The sequence below is a fragment of the Homo sapiens genome, chromosome 1, assembly GCF_000001405.40.
Source record: "Homo sapiens chromosome 1, GRCh38.p14 Primary Assembly".
NCBI classification, from domain to species: Eukaryota; Metazoa; Chordata; class Mammalia; order Primates; family Hominidae; genus Homo; species Homo sapiens.
Genome location: NC_000001.11, coordinates 57,275,950 through 57,294,042, shown reverse-complemented (window position 1 = coordinate 57,294,042; position 18,093 = coordinate 57,275,950). Strand labels below are relative to the sequence as shown.

Sequence of the window (18,093 nt, the reverse complement as noted above, 5' to 3'; positions counted from 1 at the left end):
ATGCCAGGGTCCACACTGTGGTACATTCTCACAGTACTGTAGCTTCCTTATTTAAGTTTTTATTCAGAATGATGGTGGTTTCCTTTCATTATTGATGTAGGGATGTACTTCAGAAATTCACAAGTAATGCTTGTAACACTTGAACATAATCATATTTTGTTGAACAAACATCTTTGAAGATAGAAATAAGGAGAGATGCTATATTGTGATTTATAAGGTTGAAGAAGAGAAAATGGCCCAAATCCAATCCAGTTTTATACAATTGATTTTAAAAAATTCTTGAAAATGTGTAAAATCCATATATTTCAGCTACTTTCTGAATTTATAGATTAGGTACCTACTGTGTCCAAGACCAACATGATACCATTTCCTACAATTCATCCTGAGACAGCAAAATTAACTTGTATCAATTTCCTCCTTTGTAAAGGGGAGATAATACAGACTTTCGGTCACATACCGGCCAGGTGGCCTTGAGCAAGTGGCACAGGAATTTATGTGCCTAATATTTATTAAATGCTTACCAGGAGGCATGCCAGACACTCTTCCAATCACATTACGTGTGTGATCATACTTAATTGCCACAACAGCTCCCCCAGTGGGCACTATTATCCCCATTGTACAGATGAAGAAACTGAGGCAAAGACAAGGTTGAGTAACTTCCTCAAATCATGTGGCTTGTAAGGGGCTGGAACTGAAGTTGTCCAAAAATCAAATCATAAAATAAGTTGGGAAAGAGTCTATTTTGCTACAGAGATCAGAACATCTTTCTGCCTGTGATGTCTCTTTGAACTGAACCTTGAGGATTCAATAGAATGTCCAGGCAGACTTGAGACAAGAGATTCCATAGAAAGATAGCAGCACAAGGAAAAACTGGGAAGATGGGGAAGTGCATCACCTCCCTGCTAGAGTCGTGCCTCCTTTTACTGGTTTGGTTGTTGATTTCACCCCTCCTTGCTTTTACACATGCTGATCTTTCTGCCTGAGACAACCACTCATTCATTCATTCATTCATTCTACATACAATTATTGAGAAGCTGGTGGTCCTTTCCCTTATCGTCCTTTTGACAGAAACATAGCTTTTCAACATCTCACAGAGTAGGGCTTATCCTCTTTGAAGCTTTATTAACCCTTCCAAGCAAAGATGAATACTTGCATCTTTCCGCCCCAGTGTGCGTGGTATTTATACCTGTTTTAGTTTTGCTCACATGTGTGTGTTGCCGTCCCTTACATGACTGATACCTCTGTTAGACTGAGCTTCTTGGAGGACAGGAAACAACCCTTGACTATGTACTCTTGGCCAGCATGGTTACATGGTAAATGTCTGTTAACATGAATGAGCTAGTATTTGTATCTGGCCCATAGCAGATTCTTACTAAATATTTGCTGCAATGAAATGGTAAATATTATTAATAAATTTTATTATGTTTATACATGACCAAATTTTGTGACTCTGCCATCTCCCATTGAACGTTGTCTTAGAGACGAGGGTCTGGAAAGGGTGTGGGTGCTGGTGACAAGGTATAGATAGATGGTATAAAAGTGACAGGATAAATTCTCATTTTCTGTGTATGGTTTCATGGACCCTGTTTTACAAAGATAACTTTCTGTTTTTCTTAGTTGTAGCCTTAGATTCACCAGATCAAGTACTTTCATTTGGGCCATTTCCTTTTTAAAAAATAGGTAGCTTATATATAAATAAAACAAAACAGATACCTTTGGATTAAGGTGGGAATTTCCTCATATTGAAGCTTTACTATAATTTTATGTGGCTTTTATATTAGACTTTCTGGTTAAGATTAACTAGATTGTCATGATTAAGAGGTTGGGGTCATTATTCTTTTTGAACTGAAACTGGCATTTGAGGTCAGTCGTTTTCTATTAAACCATTCTACATCTGTGGGATGAACTAAGAATTGGCTGCACAATTCGAAGATCCATTTCTAATAGCTTTTTCTTAATATTTTTCAAAAGTGGAAATTGGTGAAATGTTTACTTTTTAATAGAACTCTCAGATATAACTATCAGATAGTCACAAGAAAGGACTATTATCAAAGAGAATACTGTATATTTGTTTAATTTAAATGAGATCGAGTGAGACACTATATGTGAAGCAGTAGCTAAGGGCATGGTATATAGTAAATATTACCTGTAAGTGAAGTGGTTGTATTATCATTATTCTGTTCCTAGCACGGTGTCTGAGTTTAATAGCACCTGGTATTATTCAATGCACATTTATTAGAGAATGAATGAATGAAATCTGTGTCTGCCTGTTTCTTTTCTTTTTCTCTGCACATTAAATGCTTGTCTGCTCTTATAGCTGGAGGAAAATCTGACATAAAAATTGGCTTGCTGGAATGTTTCTTGGCCCCATTTGTCACCTTATCCTTGGAGCCCATTTGTATGTCAACTCCATGCCCCCTCTGATGCCTGCCAGTGAGGGACAGACCACAGGTTACTTCCATATGATCTGCTTTTGCTGCCAAGGTGCTGATCAAGCTTGGCTGATGGATGGGTGCTCTCTTATTGGAAATGTCTCCATGGGGCTGGTCAGGACATACCTTTGCTATATATTCTGGTTGGGATCTAGTGCTTGAAAATAAGAAACATAGAAAACAGAGTTGGGTTTTGTCCCTCTTATAAATCTAGACTTTTAAAGATCTATTTTGAGTTACCTAGTTTGAGAAGCAGTTTTGCCGCTAAGCCTCTCATTCCCTTTGCTGTATAAACCCTATCAATGCCTTCATGAAACCATGGGAGCAGTTTTTGCATAAAGACCAAGATTTTGTTTGTATATGTTTGCCAATTCACTTTTTATAAATTTCTGTTTAACTTCATAACAGTGATGATTCTGAATGTTCTCTTGCCTTGATTTGCAGCACTCAAAAAGAGTGAATGAAATGTGCAGCTCAGAGTGTCATTTCTGAAGGGAGGAGTCTTTCTCTTGGAGAAGAGTCCTCAATGAGCCTGGCCGAGGCCCGGGATCTGTGTGAAGTGGACTAAGGATTAAGTAGGATGTCAACTGAGACAGAACTTCAAGTAGCTGTGAAAACCAGCGCCAAGAAAGACTCCAGAAAGAAAGGTAGGGCTGAATTTGACCTTTTTTTAATGGCTACTTTTCTGCACAGGAATGAGTTTTTAGATCTCTGGAATGATATAAAGAAATATCTTTATGATTGCATATATTTTTAAATAGTTATTTTGTGTGTTTTGTGTTAATAATATAATAATGTAATGGTTCATCATTATTCTCCAGATAAAATCCAAAACTTTTCTGCACAGGAATGAGTTTTTAAATATCTGGAATGATATAAAGGAGTATCTTTATGATCACATATATTTTTAAATAGTAATTTTGTGTGTTTCGTATTCATAATATAATAATGTAATGGCTCTTCATTATTCTCCAGATAAGATCCAAAACTTTTCTCATAATATACAAAGTTTTTCTGCATATGCCTTCTATGCATCCCTCCAGCAACATCTCTGCCTAACCACCCCCCTTCCCCATCCCTGTTTACCCTCCAGATATTCTGTAGTTCATCATCGCCTGTACCAGTGGTTGTCAAACTCCGGCTGGACCCGAATCACTGGGAGGGCTTGATAAAGCCTTCATTTCTGAGTCTCATCTCAAAGTGTCAGATTCAGTAAATCTAGGGTAGGACCCAAGACTCTGCATTTAAAACAGGTTCCCAGGTGATGCCAGTCTTGCTGGTCCAGAGACCCTACTTTAAGAACCACTGGACTCTTAATCCAGCCCGAAATCCTTTTCTGTTGCTCTTCATTTTTTTTTTTTTCCTGAACTGACTCCTGCTTATTCACTAGGTTTGAGTTTAGGGGAGCCTCCTGGGGGAGCCTTTTCTTACTCCCAAAATTGATGTAAATGTTTTTATTTGTTTTGTTTCATTAGCACTTGGTTAGTGTTTTGCTTTATTAAAAATGTCCTGCATAAACTCCTTTGGAGCTAGATGTTTCGTTCACATTTTAAGTCTCAGCACTTAGAAAGTGCTTGGCAGAGAGGAGCCAGAGATATCTGGCAATGAAGATTTGCAGGCATAGTGTGATGATAAAGTAATTCTGTCACTTTTCGTGTTTTCTGGAGAATTTAGCCCCATGGCTTTAGGACCATGTTTTTCAGTAAGCTTCACCCCTGCCAATTAAATATGAGCAACTTCTTTCTCTCTGTGTGTGTGTGTTTTCTCCCTGTAGTTTCTGCTCTCTCTCCCTTGTTTTCTCAGCTGCATGGGAGAGGATTGACAGAGCTCTCTCTCAGGTCTTGAAATCTGTCAATGTGGGCTTGCAAACTGGGATGCCCTTGACTTCTTTGTATAGGCAGTGATTTGTTTGAGACATCGTTGTGCCTGCCCAGTTATGTTTTGTGATGGCATTTGTCTGACACTCTATATGAAGTAAGGGACATAACTGTAATACATATGCAGCTCTTTGACAGCCAGAAGCCCAGGAAGGACTATAAATTTTGCTTTTGATGTTTATTTGAAACACAAATACTTTGGAGGCAGTCTATTTTGTTCCCTAAAAATTAATGTAAACCTTGTTTTCTATGCATCATGGTCTAAGAATAATAGAAAGAAAGTAAGTGGGTGAAAGAACATGTCTTGGGAGACTGCTGTGTGGAAAAAGAAAAAAGAGGTCGCAGAGCCCAGTATGTACTAGAATTCAAATGCTTTTTCAGTGGAAACTGACAAGTTATATTTTTGCCTTAAATTTAACCTTTCCACTAAACCTGCACTCTTGAATGCTTAATGCATTAAAAATGTTATCTTAGTGCATATTTTTTCATTCTTCATTTTAACATGCAAAACCAGAAGTATTCTGCAGAGAGGATTCAGGTTTTCAGGACATTGGCTCAGTTGGGGATTTGGGATGAGAGCATGAAGGTGACCCTTTTTGAACCTCCTCATCTTCATGTCCTAAAAAAACTCTGAAATCAACATAATACATATGTGAGGAGTGTCCTCCATGGACTGGCTAATATCATGGGATTTGGGTAGGCAGAGCTGGATTCAAATTCTGGCTTTACCACTTTCTCACAATGTGACCTTTGAAAGTATTTAACCTGATCCTCATTTTCCTCTCTTATAAAATGGGTATATAATATTACAGACTTCAAAGGCTCACTATGAAGATTAATGAAAATAAGGCAAATAAAATACTTATTACTTGGCATGTATTAAATGCTTAACAAAGGTTAGCTGTGATCTTCTTCCTCTTTTTCCTCCCTTTTCCTTTTCTCCTTCTCTTCCCCTCCCTTCCCTGTCATCTTTCTCCATTTCCCTCCTCTCCACTCTTTTCTCTTTTTCTCTTCCTTCATCATTCATCTTGTCTTAATTAGCTTGAGCTGCCACAAGAAAATACCATAGACTTGACAGCTTAAACAACAGAAACATGTTTCTCACAGATCTGGAGGCTAGAAAGTCTAAGATCAAAGTGCCAGCCAATTTGGTTCCTGGTGAGGGCTCTCTTCCTGGCTCATAGATGGTCATCTTCTCACCATGTCCTCACGTGGTAGAGGAAGACCAAACTCTTTCCTTCTCTTCTTTCCCATCACAAGAGCCCCACACTCACAATGGTATCTAACCATAATTACCTTCCAAAGGCCCCATTTCCAAACACCATGCCACTGGGGTTCAGGGCTTTAACATATAGATTTTGGTGAAACACAGATATGCATAACACACCACATCTCCTTCTTTTCCTCCTCCCCCATCCCCCATCCTCTTCATCTGTATCATCATCATCATCATCACCATCGCATAGATATTTTTGCTTATTCTGTTTTATACCCAAGGGGCTCTTGAAAAGTATATAGCTAATTTGTCCCAGAACAATATTTTGCAATTGTTTATAATTGTGAAACAGTGATAAACAATTATTATTCTCTATACATTTGTCTGGGCCAAGGCACATGTATATTAAAATGAGAGAGAAGGGCTGGGCGTAGTGGCTCACGCCTGTAATCCCTGCACTTTCGGAGGCTGAGGCAGGCAGAACACTTGAAGTCAGGAATTCGAGACCAGCCTGGCCAACACAGTGAAACCCCGTCTCTACTAAAAATACAAAAATTAGTCAGGCATGGTGGCACGCACCTGTAATCCCAGCTACTCGGGAGGCTGAGGCAGGAGAATCGCTTGAACCTGGGAGGCAGAGGTTACGGTGAGCCAAGATGGCTTCATTGCCCTCCAGCCTGGGTGACCAAATGAGACTCCGTCTCAAATAAATAAATAAATAAATAAATAAATAAATAAAAGAGAGAGAAAACGTGCTGGTAACAGCATTAATTCATTTCTTGTTCTTCAGTTTTGATGATGTAATAGTATTTCATTAAACAAATTTGCTAACTTGGACAAAATTAATACAACTTTAAAAGGAATAAACAGTTTATATACTGATATTGAATTTTGAATATAACCATGTCGTTATGCTCTTTTATTACTAATACTTTCTCCAACTATGCTTGGATTTTCTATGGAGACAGCATATAACCTGCAAATAAGTTTCTCATCAATCTTTAAGTACTTACTTCTTTTTCTCTCTAATTGGCTGGATCTGTCATTATAATATTTAGTGATAATAAATGTCCTTATCTCGTTCCTGATTGCTTCTAGCTTACATTTAAGTTATGTTTAAGTTTTTACTAAAGATAGTTTTCTGGCTGGGCATGGTGGCTCATGCCTATAGTCTCAGCTCTTTGGGAGGCTAAGGTGGGTGGATCGCTTGAACTTATGAGTTTGAGACCAGCCTGGGCAACATGGTGAAACCCCATCTTTACAAAAAAAAATGCAAAGAATGGCCAGGCATGGCGGCGCATGCCAGTAGTCCCAGCTACTCAGGAGGCTGAGTTGGGAGGATGGCTTGAGCCCATGAATTGGAGTTTGCAGTGTGCCAAAATCACACCACTGCACTCCAGCCTGTGCAATAGAGCCAGACCTTGTCACAAAACAAAACAAAACAAAACATACCTTGTTAGTTCCCCTTTATGTATTATTTTCTAGGAAGTGTTTTTAAATTCTAAATTTGCATGTTGAATTTTATCATAGGCTTTTTCTGTATTTATTTCAATGATTATACATATTTTTCCTCTTATAATTTATACTGTGGCAGATTTAACTGATAGATTTTTAAATATTCATTTCTGGGGTAAATCTTACTTGGTTGTAATGCTATTATTTTCTACACCCTGGTGGGTTTGATTCGTTAGGTTAAGGAATGGTTTTTGTATCTATATTTATCAGCAAGATTGGTGTATAACTTCTTTTCTGGGACAAACCTTGTGTCTGGTATTAGTTAATGTTATATTCTCATATAATGATTTTTATCAGTTAATGTTATATCCTCATATAATGATTTTTGGTAGGAATGAAATGCTGAATAATATTGAGGACTATTTCTGGAAAATATTAACTTTCTTTACAATTATTTAACTTTTTAAAAGCTATATATGCTTATTGCTGAAATTAGAAAGGACAAAGTAACCATGCATAATTCCGTAAAACAAAAATAACTACTATTAACAACTGAAGTTACATCCTTAAACTGGCCTTCCAGGATAATATGTAGTTGACATCATACTCTTCATACAGTTTCATGTCCTATTTTGTTATTTGACATTAGTGTGTTTCCTATATTATTACCTGATATTACAAAATAGAAGTGTTTTTTTTCCCCCTCTTATTAAGATTTAGATGACTCCTGGGGCAGATATTTTAACTCCTGAAAAAAGAATACCTGACAATTTGGGTCATCTATTGTGAGAAAGAGTGGCATAAAGGCCCTTTAGAGTTCCTCACAAATCTATCACCCTAGTTCTTTAACCCAGGCTGTTGAAAGCAAGCCAGACGGTTTCAAATACAAGTCACATAGGGGCATATTTCATCACAAAATGAGTTTCTAGGCAGGCGATTTATGAAATGTAACTAGAGTATTCACAATTCAAATGAGGGATGTAAGTAGTGAAAAATAAAGTTGTTTTTTTCATTTTATTTTTATTGGATTGTGTCACTGCACATACAGCTTGTCAAATGGTGCCCATTCCAGAAGTGGAATTTGATGGAAGACCTGAGGAAAAGAATGTATATTTTTAGGTTCGTTACCTGCCATCAAAGGAGGACAATCAGTTGACACTACTCTTGTTATTTGTAATCTCCGTATTAGGGCACTCAGTGGAAGATCATGGTAGAGGAACGTGTCCCATGATGAACAGATAGATATTTCTGGGGGCAGTGCCTGGAGTCTTCCAGTCAGTGCCATCTGGCAGCTTAGTGTAGTGGAAAGAGCACTGACTTTGGAGCACAGCAGACCTGGTTTTTAGTTCTAACTCTTCTCTTTATGTGCTGTGTAACCAGAGACAGGTTAATTAGCCTCCTTGAGCCTGGTTTCACTTATCTTTAAAGGGAGGGGTTTGTGTATTTTTATGTGTGTGTGAATATTTCCACTTGTCATTAGAAAGGTGAGGGGGCTGGGTGTGGTGCTCATGCCTGTAATCCCAGCACTTTAGGAGGCTGAGGTGGGCAGATCACCTGAGGTCAGGTGTTCGAGACCAACCTGGCCAACATGGTGAAACCCTGTCTCTACTAAAAATACAAAAATACAAAAATAGGGTGTGGTGGCACTCGCCTGTAATCCCAGCTACTTGGGAGGCTGAGGCAGGAGGATCACTTGAACCTGGGAGGCAGAGGTTGCAGTGAGCTGAGATTGTGCCATTGCACTCCAGCCTGGGCAAAAAGAGCAAAACTCAAAACTCAAAAAGAAAAAAAGAAAGAAAGAAAGGTGAGGGAGATACTGTGAGTAAAGAGCTAGCTTGGGGTCTGCAATGTAGTCTGGCTTAGTCAGTGTGTTAGTGCTCTGTCCTCTTCTTTCTGAAATCACAGTTCACCATCACCTCCTTATTTTCTAGAAACACCTGGAAATAGTGAAACTTTTTTACTTCCCTTATATTTCATATTAGTGCTATACCCAGGGATCATCAATTAACCACAATGACAGTGACAAAAAGCTGCCTTCATATTTTCTCCCAGGAGAATTTTGGCTCCAAGAATCAAGGCTTTAATGGGATTCAGAAGTCAGTGATCACAGGGCAGATGCCTCAGGTTTGAAGTCACATCAAACCGAGTGTGAACCTTCTGTAACTCGCAGCTGTGCTAACTTTTGGAGGTTTCTTGAAAAATTCTAGTCAGTTTGGGTTAAAGAATGGTTTCAGTAATGTCACACTCAGGGTCATGACTGCTCAACTGGTCATTAGCCCTGGGAAGTAACTTCCGCTAACATTGGCTTACCTCATAGGAGCTTATAAATTGCCATCATATTGATTATCTCATTAGGTCATCAGGATCCTGAGAGAATGATCTTTTAAGAAAACAATCTTTTTATCAGGCTTATTTATCATTGCTTCTATATGCTGCTCTTGTCCTGCAGAGGAGGCAGCCTGGGGTCAATCAAGATACTGGGTATTTGGGTTCATACTTTAAGCCCCCCACTCTCTCATGGTCTAACTTCAGACAAGTCACCTCTGCTTTTTGAGCTTCACTTTTCTCAGCCACCAAATGGATGTAGAGATAATATTTGCTTGCCCAATTTTGAAATGTAGGACGGGGCATCATTAATTAATTAGTTCTTTTGTCCACAAACATTTATCCAGCTCCAGCATGAGCCCAGCCTATGCTTGGTCTTCTGCAGAACAGAGAAATGCCTTAGAAGGAGATTCTGACTCTAGTCATCCACGCTGTAGTTAAAGAACTGTGAGCTGGGAGGGTGGCGCAGGGGAGGGGGCCTTCTGATATTTATGTCTCGTCTTTCCCTGAAAAAATATTGTGTTTCTACTTTGCTGCTTTTATTCATTCCCAACCTATTACTGTTCATAAAATGCATAAGGTTTACTTTGACTCCAAGTTTATTTTTATTCATTAAAATATTCCATGTTTATCATAATGAGGATGATTCTCATTAAAACTCTTTTCATTGCCTTCCTGACTAAAAGCAAGTACATTTTTATTTTAATAAACATAAGTAACACAATACTCTGAAAGTCTGTATACATTAAAACGTGAATAACCTCTCTGGAATATACAACTTCTCTGGAAGTTGACATATATAAAAGGTTATAAGAAGTTAATGTTTGGTGGCAGGCCACAGCCTGGTTGTCACAGGTGAGGTCTCAAGAGGAAAATGATTTGTCAGTGGTCACTCCCCTGGGCAATGGCAGAGCCAGGGTTGCAACCCAGGAATGGCTCCCTGGCTGGAGCTCCTTCCACTCAGTAGATCCCAAACAACTTATGTTCTTAGGATTCACCTCATTAACATCTCAGGGTGTTTGCTTCCTCTTCCTTACAATGAAGACTTCTGAAAAGAGCCCATGTTTTAGAATTAGATAAACTGAAGTTGGAGTCAAGGCTCAGCACATTTTCTACTTGCCTATCTTGGGCTGGCTACCTAATCTTTCTGGGCCTCAACTTCTTCATCTGTAAAATGGAAATAATAGTAGTTCGTATCTTAGAGTGTTGCAGTGAGGATTCCATGAGTTCACAAGTATAAAAAACCTAGCATTGAAACTCTATACCTAGAATCAAGATTAAGAAATATTCCTTTCCTCTGTGGCCCCCAACTCCCACCATGTCTGAGAGGCAGCACATCTCTAGTGGTATAGGAAATATAGAGAGGTAGAAGGTACCCTTTTCTCTAGAGGAATATGGGGTAGTTGGTAAGAAAAAGACACTTGTCCCTCTTCAAATGGATACTTGCTCCAAGAATAACTGAGGGAATGAATAAGAAGTACAAAGGAAAATGGACCATGTTGTCAAGCTACAAAGATTTACTAATAGCCATCATGTATGCTTCCTGCATATGAGCCATTTTAGACAAATTTTCCCTAATAAGCCTAACTCTTACATCATCCCATTGAATACATAAGAAAATAATGTTTGCAGAGGTCAAGAGACTTGCCCCAGGTCATGGGGCTTGTCTGTCTGAGTTGCCATACACTAGGTCTTAGCAGTGCTGAAGTCTGTACTATCTTCCCTGAATGTATTCTGTGGGTTTGCCCTGTGGCTTGATGCTGGAGAGTTGGAGAATGTGAAAAAAATTATAGGGGCTATACTCTTCTGGGGAGATGGGAGCATAGAAACTGATTAGCTACATCATGTAAATTTATGGTGCTGTTCTGTCTTGGCAGGGTTTTGGTGAGCTAATCATTCTATATGAACTCTGTGATTTGTAAGCTTTAGAAATTCAAAACCAAGGATTTAATTATAAGAAAAGATAAATTTTTCTGAACTTGATCAGTAGAGCTCTTGGGCCAAAGGGTTTGGAGGCAGAGAGTAATGTTTTGGGGCCAAGCAGTTTACTTCTTTATGGTAAGACTGATCATATGATGTGCTGTGGTGAAAAGAGACTTCTGTATTCTCTGTGGTCACACGGTCATGAATTTATTACAGGACACTTCACTCGATGTGGTCATTCACTGAAGATAAACTGTTTCAGGTTTAATTGGTGACTTAGTTCAGCACCTTGTTCTAACTGGTTCCCTTGCTAGAAGTCAGGCTTTCTCCAAACTCACCTACATAGCTCTTTTCCTCCTTGAACTTGTACTGTAACCCTGGCAGCATACACCACAGGACAATACATCAAGCCCTTTGAAATGTGGTTCCCATCTCCTTTTCTGTCACTCCGCTTGCTCCCACCCTAAGCCACACTAAGCTTCAGGTCCCAGGTCTCACCTCTGTGGCTTTTGTGCAGACTGCGATTTCACCTTGGATAGCTCTCTTACCCTATGCACTTGCTCTTGGCGACTCCTGTTCATCCTTCAAAACTCAGTCACCTGTTTTTTTTTTTTTTTTTTTTTTTTTTTTTTGAGAAGAAGGCTTGCTCTGTCACCCAGGCTGGAGTGCAGTGGTGTGATCTCAGCTCACTGCAATGTCTGCCTCCCAGGTTCAAGCGATTCTCCTGCCTTAGCCTCCTGAGTAGCTGGGATTACAGGTGCATGTCACTGCACCCAGCTAATTTTTTATATTTTTAGTAGAGATGGGGTTTCGCCATGTTGGCCAGGCTGGTCTTGAACTTCTGACCTCAGCTAATCGGCCTGCCTCAGCCTCCCAAAGTGCTAGGATTACAGTCACCTTTTGGTTAACATTGTGAGTTTCCTAACATCCTCAATTAATTAATCACTGATTATCAATTCATGTGAGCTTCTACATATCTTTCAAATCCATTCATTCCTTCTTCCCCACTGGCCCCCGTCCCCGAAGGTAGTTCAGGCTACCTTCATCTCTCATCTGGATCATCCTAGCACCCTCCTAAATGGTTTTCAGGTTTTCACTGCTGTCCATCTCCAAGCCATTCTCAGCACTGCTCACTAATGCGGAGATTTAATCAGATCACACTCCTGCATAAAACCCTTCAGTGAGTGGCTCCTCCTGCCCTCAGGAAAAAGTCCACACTGCTTATCATGGCATCAGAGAGGTGCTGTCTGGTCTGACCCCTTCTTATCTGTCCAGGCGCATTCCTCACCACTCTTGCCAATCATACGTCACCGAGTGGTCCCACTGAATCAATTGCAGTTCCCTGACCCTACCATGTTGATTTTTTACACGTGGGGTTTTGTACATGTTTTTTCTTCTCCTGGGAATACATTTTTTCTGTATTTGTTTCAAAGCTAACTCCATGTATTCTTTAGTCTCAAGTTAAAGATTACTTTTCTCCAGAAATGCTTTGGTGACCCACTGCAACCCACCCACATGCCCCCCAGTTGTGGGTCATGACCATGCTGTGTGCTCTCAACCACTTTGCATTTTCTCCATTATTTAAATAAGGTTTATTCTCTTTATCACTCACTAGGCTGGGAGATCTGTGAGGACAGGGACTGTGTCTGTTTTTTCAGCCACTTTAGTTCTGCCACTAAGGACAGTGTTGAAAAGTGTAGGTATGCAGCAATATTTATTGAATGAATAAGGGAGTAAATGAATGAACTTACGGCCACGAAAAATCTCACCTGAGTCCCCTGGATTCTAAGGAGTCTCACAGCACCCTGTACTTACTAAAATTATCACACTTTCCCCATTTTTTCTATAATTATTTTTCTTTTTTCTATGCTATGCCATTAACTATGAGTTCCTCACCTGGTACACTTGGCACAAGGTAGGTAATCAGTAAATGTTTGTTGAATTAATTATTATATAATGTGGGGGAGAATTATTTGCACAAGGAGAAAAAAAATTTAAAAAAATCTCCCCTAAGAGTTGGCTCTTGAGATTCTTATTATGTGGCATTCAAAATTCCTACAATTCAGACAGCTACTTCTCCTTTTGTGATGTGTGTCCAATCATGTCTGGTGCTGTAATTTACCGTGATGTAGGCCATATTGGTAGTAAGAGCTATAAGATTTGCCATATTAGTTCATCCCACTGCTTCATTAAGCTCAGTGTGCTGCCTCTGGCAGTGACTGGGCCTGAATTTTTATGTTTGGAAGAACAAAGCTCTTCACATTAGCCCTCTGAGTCCTTGATATGCTGTGAGTCTGGTTACGTATATGCTCTTTCACGGAGCTGGAGAGTCTTTGTCTTTGCAGATAGTCAGTAAATGACTCAGAGGATGGGATTTCATTATTTGTGTAAGTTTGCTGAGCAGACAATGTTCCCAGGTGTGCTGAGATTTCAGCAATCTCCTATTGCAACACACCTTCTAGGATGGTCAGAGTACACATGTTTGCAAGGCTGAGTGTTTCTGCAGTCCATCAAAAGAACACACATAGATCAAAGGCAGAGGAGAGGCAAGAGCAGAGGTGAAGGAGGAACCAATATCTATTGTTCATGTGTCCTTGTGTCCATGTTTTCTCATTTAAGCTTGAAAATAGCCTTTAGACAAGTATTCTCATTCTGTGTAAGAGGCAACTGAGGCTCAGAGAGGTGCATGGCTTACTTGAGGTCACACAGGTAAAGGGACCCATTTACACACAGATCTTTCTAACCCCAGAGCCTGTCCACGTTCTTAACCCTGGACTAAACTTCTCTCCACTGAATGATATGTCCTCTTACCAAATACTAAGTTGTGCTTGCACTGAAAGATGTCCTCCTACAGGTTCCAATAGTAATGCCTTTAGGTTGAGATGGCCTCAGCAAGAGGAGGGAATGATGATAAAATATGTTGTATAGTTAGAAAAGAAGTTAAAAAGCCATGGGAAGCCCCTTCACTTCACATCTCTTGTCTGTGACTTGCAGAAGGTTGTCATGCACAAGTCTCCACATGATTGAGAAGGAAACATTTCCTAGATATAAAAAGGTAAAGTGAAAATGAACTTGAAGGATTTTGACTATGTATAAATTGAAATGTACAATCAGCCCTTTGTGACTGTGGGTTTCACATCTGTGTATTCAACCAACTGTGGATAAAATCCTGAGGCTATGGAGGGCCAACTGTGTGTGTTTTCCATCTGAGGTTGTTTATCCATTCATCCATCAGTGGACATTTGGGCTGCCTCCACCTCTTGGCTATTGTGAATGATGCTGGTATGAAATGAGTATACAGCTATCTATTCGAGACCCTGCTTTCATTCCTCTTGGATATAAAGTCAGCCACCCTCCATATCTGAGGTTCTGCATCCATGGATTCAACCAACATTGGATAGAAAATATTAGGCAAAAAATACAACAATTAAAAAATAATACAAATTTTAAAATGCAAGTATAATAGCTATTACATAGCATTTTCTTTGCATTAGGTATTACGAGTAATCTAGAGATGATTTAAAGTATACTACAGGATTACATAGGTTGTATGCAAATACTATGCCATTTTATATAAAGAACTTGAATATCTTTAGATTTTGTTATCTATGGAGATCCTGGAGCTAATCCCCATGGATATGGAAGATATAATGTTATATTAAAGGAAAACATCATTTCTATCTCTTAATTTGGAGCAAGCACTGTAAAAGTGAAGACCAGGAAATTTCGCAAATTCCCCAAATCTATGAATAATATCATCAGCCTAGTTCACCTCCCAGCGGGCATCCCCAAACCTGAAATAATAACGAGGATGCTGGTGATGAAGGTAGCTACTATCTGTCAGCAATTGCTAAGTATCAGGCAATGTATTCAAACCTTTATATCTGTTTTCTCATTCAGATCATTCCTATGAGGTAGCTGCTTTTTAAAAATCTCAGGTTTACAGATGAGGAAGGTGAGAAGCTGGAAAGACGACACAAAGTCAGTGCTGTAAGGGCCCTGCAGTTCTGTCTCACTAATCAATACAGCAAATGTTGTGTGTCCCTTCTAAACACCTTGCGCAATTTGAACACATCGCCTTGCTTGCCCCCCTTTGAGCATGCATGGATTTGCTTCAGCTCTCCTCTCAGCCTGGAAGAAGTTCCCCTCTCTCTTTTTGGCCTGTCAAAGTCCTCCTGCTCCTCTGAGACATAGCTCAGATAGCACTGCCATAGAGCTCCTCCTCAGAATCCCTCTCCTTCCATGGAATTAAGCCTTGTGATTCTCAGTGTACTGTTTTCACTCCAGATGAAGCTCTTATTCCTTTCTTCTGTTCATTAGGATTCCGCTTTATAACCCTTTCTTCCCTTCTATATTGTGTGTTCAGCTGAGTCTTATTGACAAGGACTGTGTCTTTTCTATCATTATATCATCTGAAAGCTGGGAGGAAGAGAAGTAAAGAGTTATCAGTGGAATGTGGGAAATGATATTAATGATGTGACTACTAAATGCCAGGGAGGGAATACAATAACTTTTAAAATCTTCACAAGAGAATTATGAGTTTGATAATACTCCCATTTTACAGATGAGAAAGCATACTCAGATAAGTTAAGATTATGTTCAATGTCACCCATCGTGTAAATAGAAGGACAGGTATTTTAATTTGGATCTGATTCAAAGCACAAGCTCTTTCCGCTACACCATGCTGTTTCCCAGCAGAGACCATCAAATAAAACCCCAGTGAAAGCTCACTTCCTAGGGGTCTGGTTCCTGTTGTAAAATGGTAGCTACAGATGCAATTTACCTTTATAAAGGATTTATATGTCATCATTGCAGATTCACATTCCTTAAATTTGGGACTATCATCACTTGAGTCTTTCAGCTTTCCCTGGCTGGCAATACTGCTGTAGGGAGAACTTGCATTCTAATTGTTAAACCAGAGGCAAGACACACCATGCTGGGACTTGCACTGGAAGAAGCCCAGTAGATGATGAATGGCAGACCTGAATCTTATCATGTATTTCAGGATGATGTACGGGACTGTTGGAAACTGCCTTTGACAAATGTGCACGGGAAGGAGAATTATCTCCAACAATGAAAAATGTTCTTATTATGTGATCCTAAAAAGGATCAGGACCCCTATCATTGGGAAAATGATCATGCCCATATCCCTTATTAACAGTGATACAGAAGCATGTGCTAAAGACATTGAATGTCATTCTGAAGCAGTGATGGATAGTCATGAGAGCTGAAATCAGGTTGGTCTTATGAAAGGTAGCTTGATGCTTGATAGCAGGTGGGAATCGTGCAACTTGCTAAGGTCTCTTTTAGCCCTTGCTTCTTGAGGCTCTGCAAGACTTGTTTCTGCTGTCTTAGCCAGTGCCCAGTGGCTTTTGGTCAGGTTGAGGCTGTGATTAAATACTAGAAGATACATGATATATATGTTTGTAGGAAAAAAAACCGTTTTCATAGGGAGAAGACTAATGTACAGGCATTTTAAATATTACTCTCAGTTTATTTTCATATTTTATATGAATAGAGTCATAGAGATTTAGTATCCTGCCCACAGCTAGAAACTAGCAGAGTTAGGATTTAAACCCAAGCAGTCTGGTTTCAAAATCGATACTTTGTTGACCATAGTAGCTTCTAATAAATACCTTCCTGGTTGGAGTTCAAAATCGTGGAAAATGAAACTGCTGAGTACATGTGTGAAGGTGCCTATCGCGGACTTTAGCACGTCATAGGTGATCAAGAGATGCTAGTCAAATCAAGAATTGTCAACATGGTAATTTTGTTAAGGGCTAAGTGATGATTACAGAGTTCTTTGAATTCCTTCCTTTCTTCCCTTCTTTTCTTTTCCTTCCTCCCTCTTTCCTTCCACCTTTCCTTCATTCAATTTTTGAGCATTTTTCAAAACCTGGCAGAGTGCTGGCCACAGAAGATTATGGAGAAGTCCTGAGTTCAAGGAACTTAAAATCTAATAAGAAAGAGAGACAAATAAGAAACAATTATAGTTTATTATAGTAAGTTGAAATCACTTAGCAGAGACAACCAACTATCCAAGGACTTCCCAGAGGTTGTGAGATTTAAATAAACATTCTTGGGGTTCAGATTTATTTATGATTTTTAGTTCCATAGTTACTTTGTGAAATATCTCCTGTTATTGAAGATCTGTAAACCCCCACTTGTGAAAAACAAATCCTACCCTATCCTCCCGTGAAAGGAAGACTAGCAGATCCTAAATCTTGCTGGACAATAACTTGTTCCTGCCTCTTCTAGAGTAAAAGCTACCTCACATTACAAACATATTTTATTCATTTCGTGTTATGCATAGGGCCAGGTGCATAATATGTGTTCACTAAACATTTGTTGAACAGTATTCTATGTTAAATAGGTAATTCATTGGCCTTTGGCCTACATTTACTTATAATCAGTAATTTATATTCAAGTAGTTTTTCTTTGATGTTTTGAAGTAATGATTACAGCAGTTTCTCCTCCTGCTCACAAAGTTATAGATTGCAAATAGATTTTGTGTAATTTGCCAATCCTGGTCGATTTTAATGGCTGCCTTGAGCGCTATGGAGAGGATTCTGAAATTATGTCCTGGCGATGAGTGAGAACAGTTAACACTTAGGTATATTTTCTTTCAGTATTTTTCTCCTGCACACTACTGTGTGCACACAAGCGTGCAAACACATGACATCCTGTCTGATCCTTCTGTGTATTTAATTCTGTATTACTTTTTCACTAAACCTCACAATTTAAGCTATTCTCATATCATAAACTTTTTGCAATATTATCATTTTGCTAAGTGATCTAATTTTCTTTAGCTTTTTCTCACAAAACCTCTCTCTCAATCTTTCTGTCATTGTTGCCATTTTTATTG

General features: G+C 39.2%; 1 protein-coding gene across 11 annotated transcripts in view, besides 1 other annotated feature; it reads left to right on the top strand.

Moving 5' to 3' along the window:
* The window catches only part of DAB1 (DAB adaptor protein 1), a 1,551,949-nt gene that overhangs the window by 1,252,684 nt on the left and 281,172 nt on the right, over positions 1–18,093 (top strand). For all 11 annotated transcript variants that reach the window (NM_001379461.1, NM_021080.5, NM_001379462.1 and 8 more), the window contains one exon: positions 2,877–3,079. In NM_001379461.1, coding sequence (NP_001366390.1) covers positions 3,013–3,079 — 67 coding nt within the window. In that variant the 5' untranslated portion in view covers positions 2,877–3,012. The remainder of the gene's footprint in view (positions 1–2,876; positions 3,080–18,093) is intronic.
* Positions 13,372–13,666: a silencer, noted in NCBI's record as "tiled region #9243; K562 Repressive non-DNase unmatched - State 24:Quies". NCBI's record gives its function as "represses a minimal TATA promoter and a strong SV40 promoter by Sharpr-MPRA in K562 cells {active_cell/tissue: K562}" and the evidence as "EXISTENCE:reporter gene assay evidence [ECO:0000049][PMID:27701403]".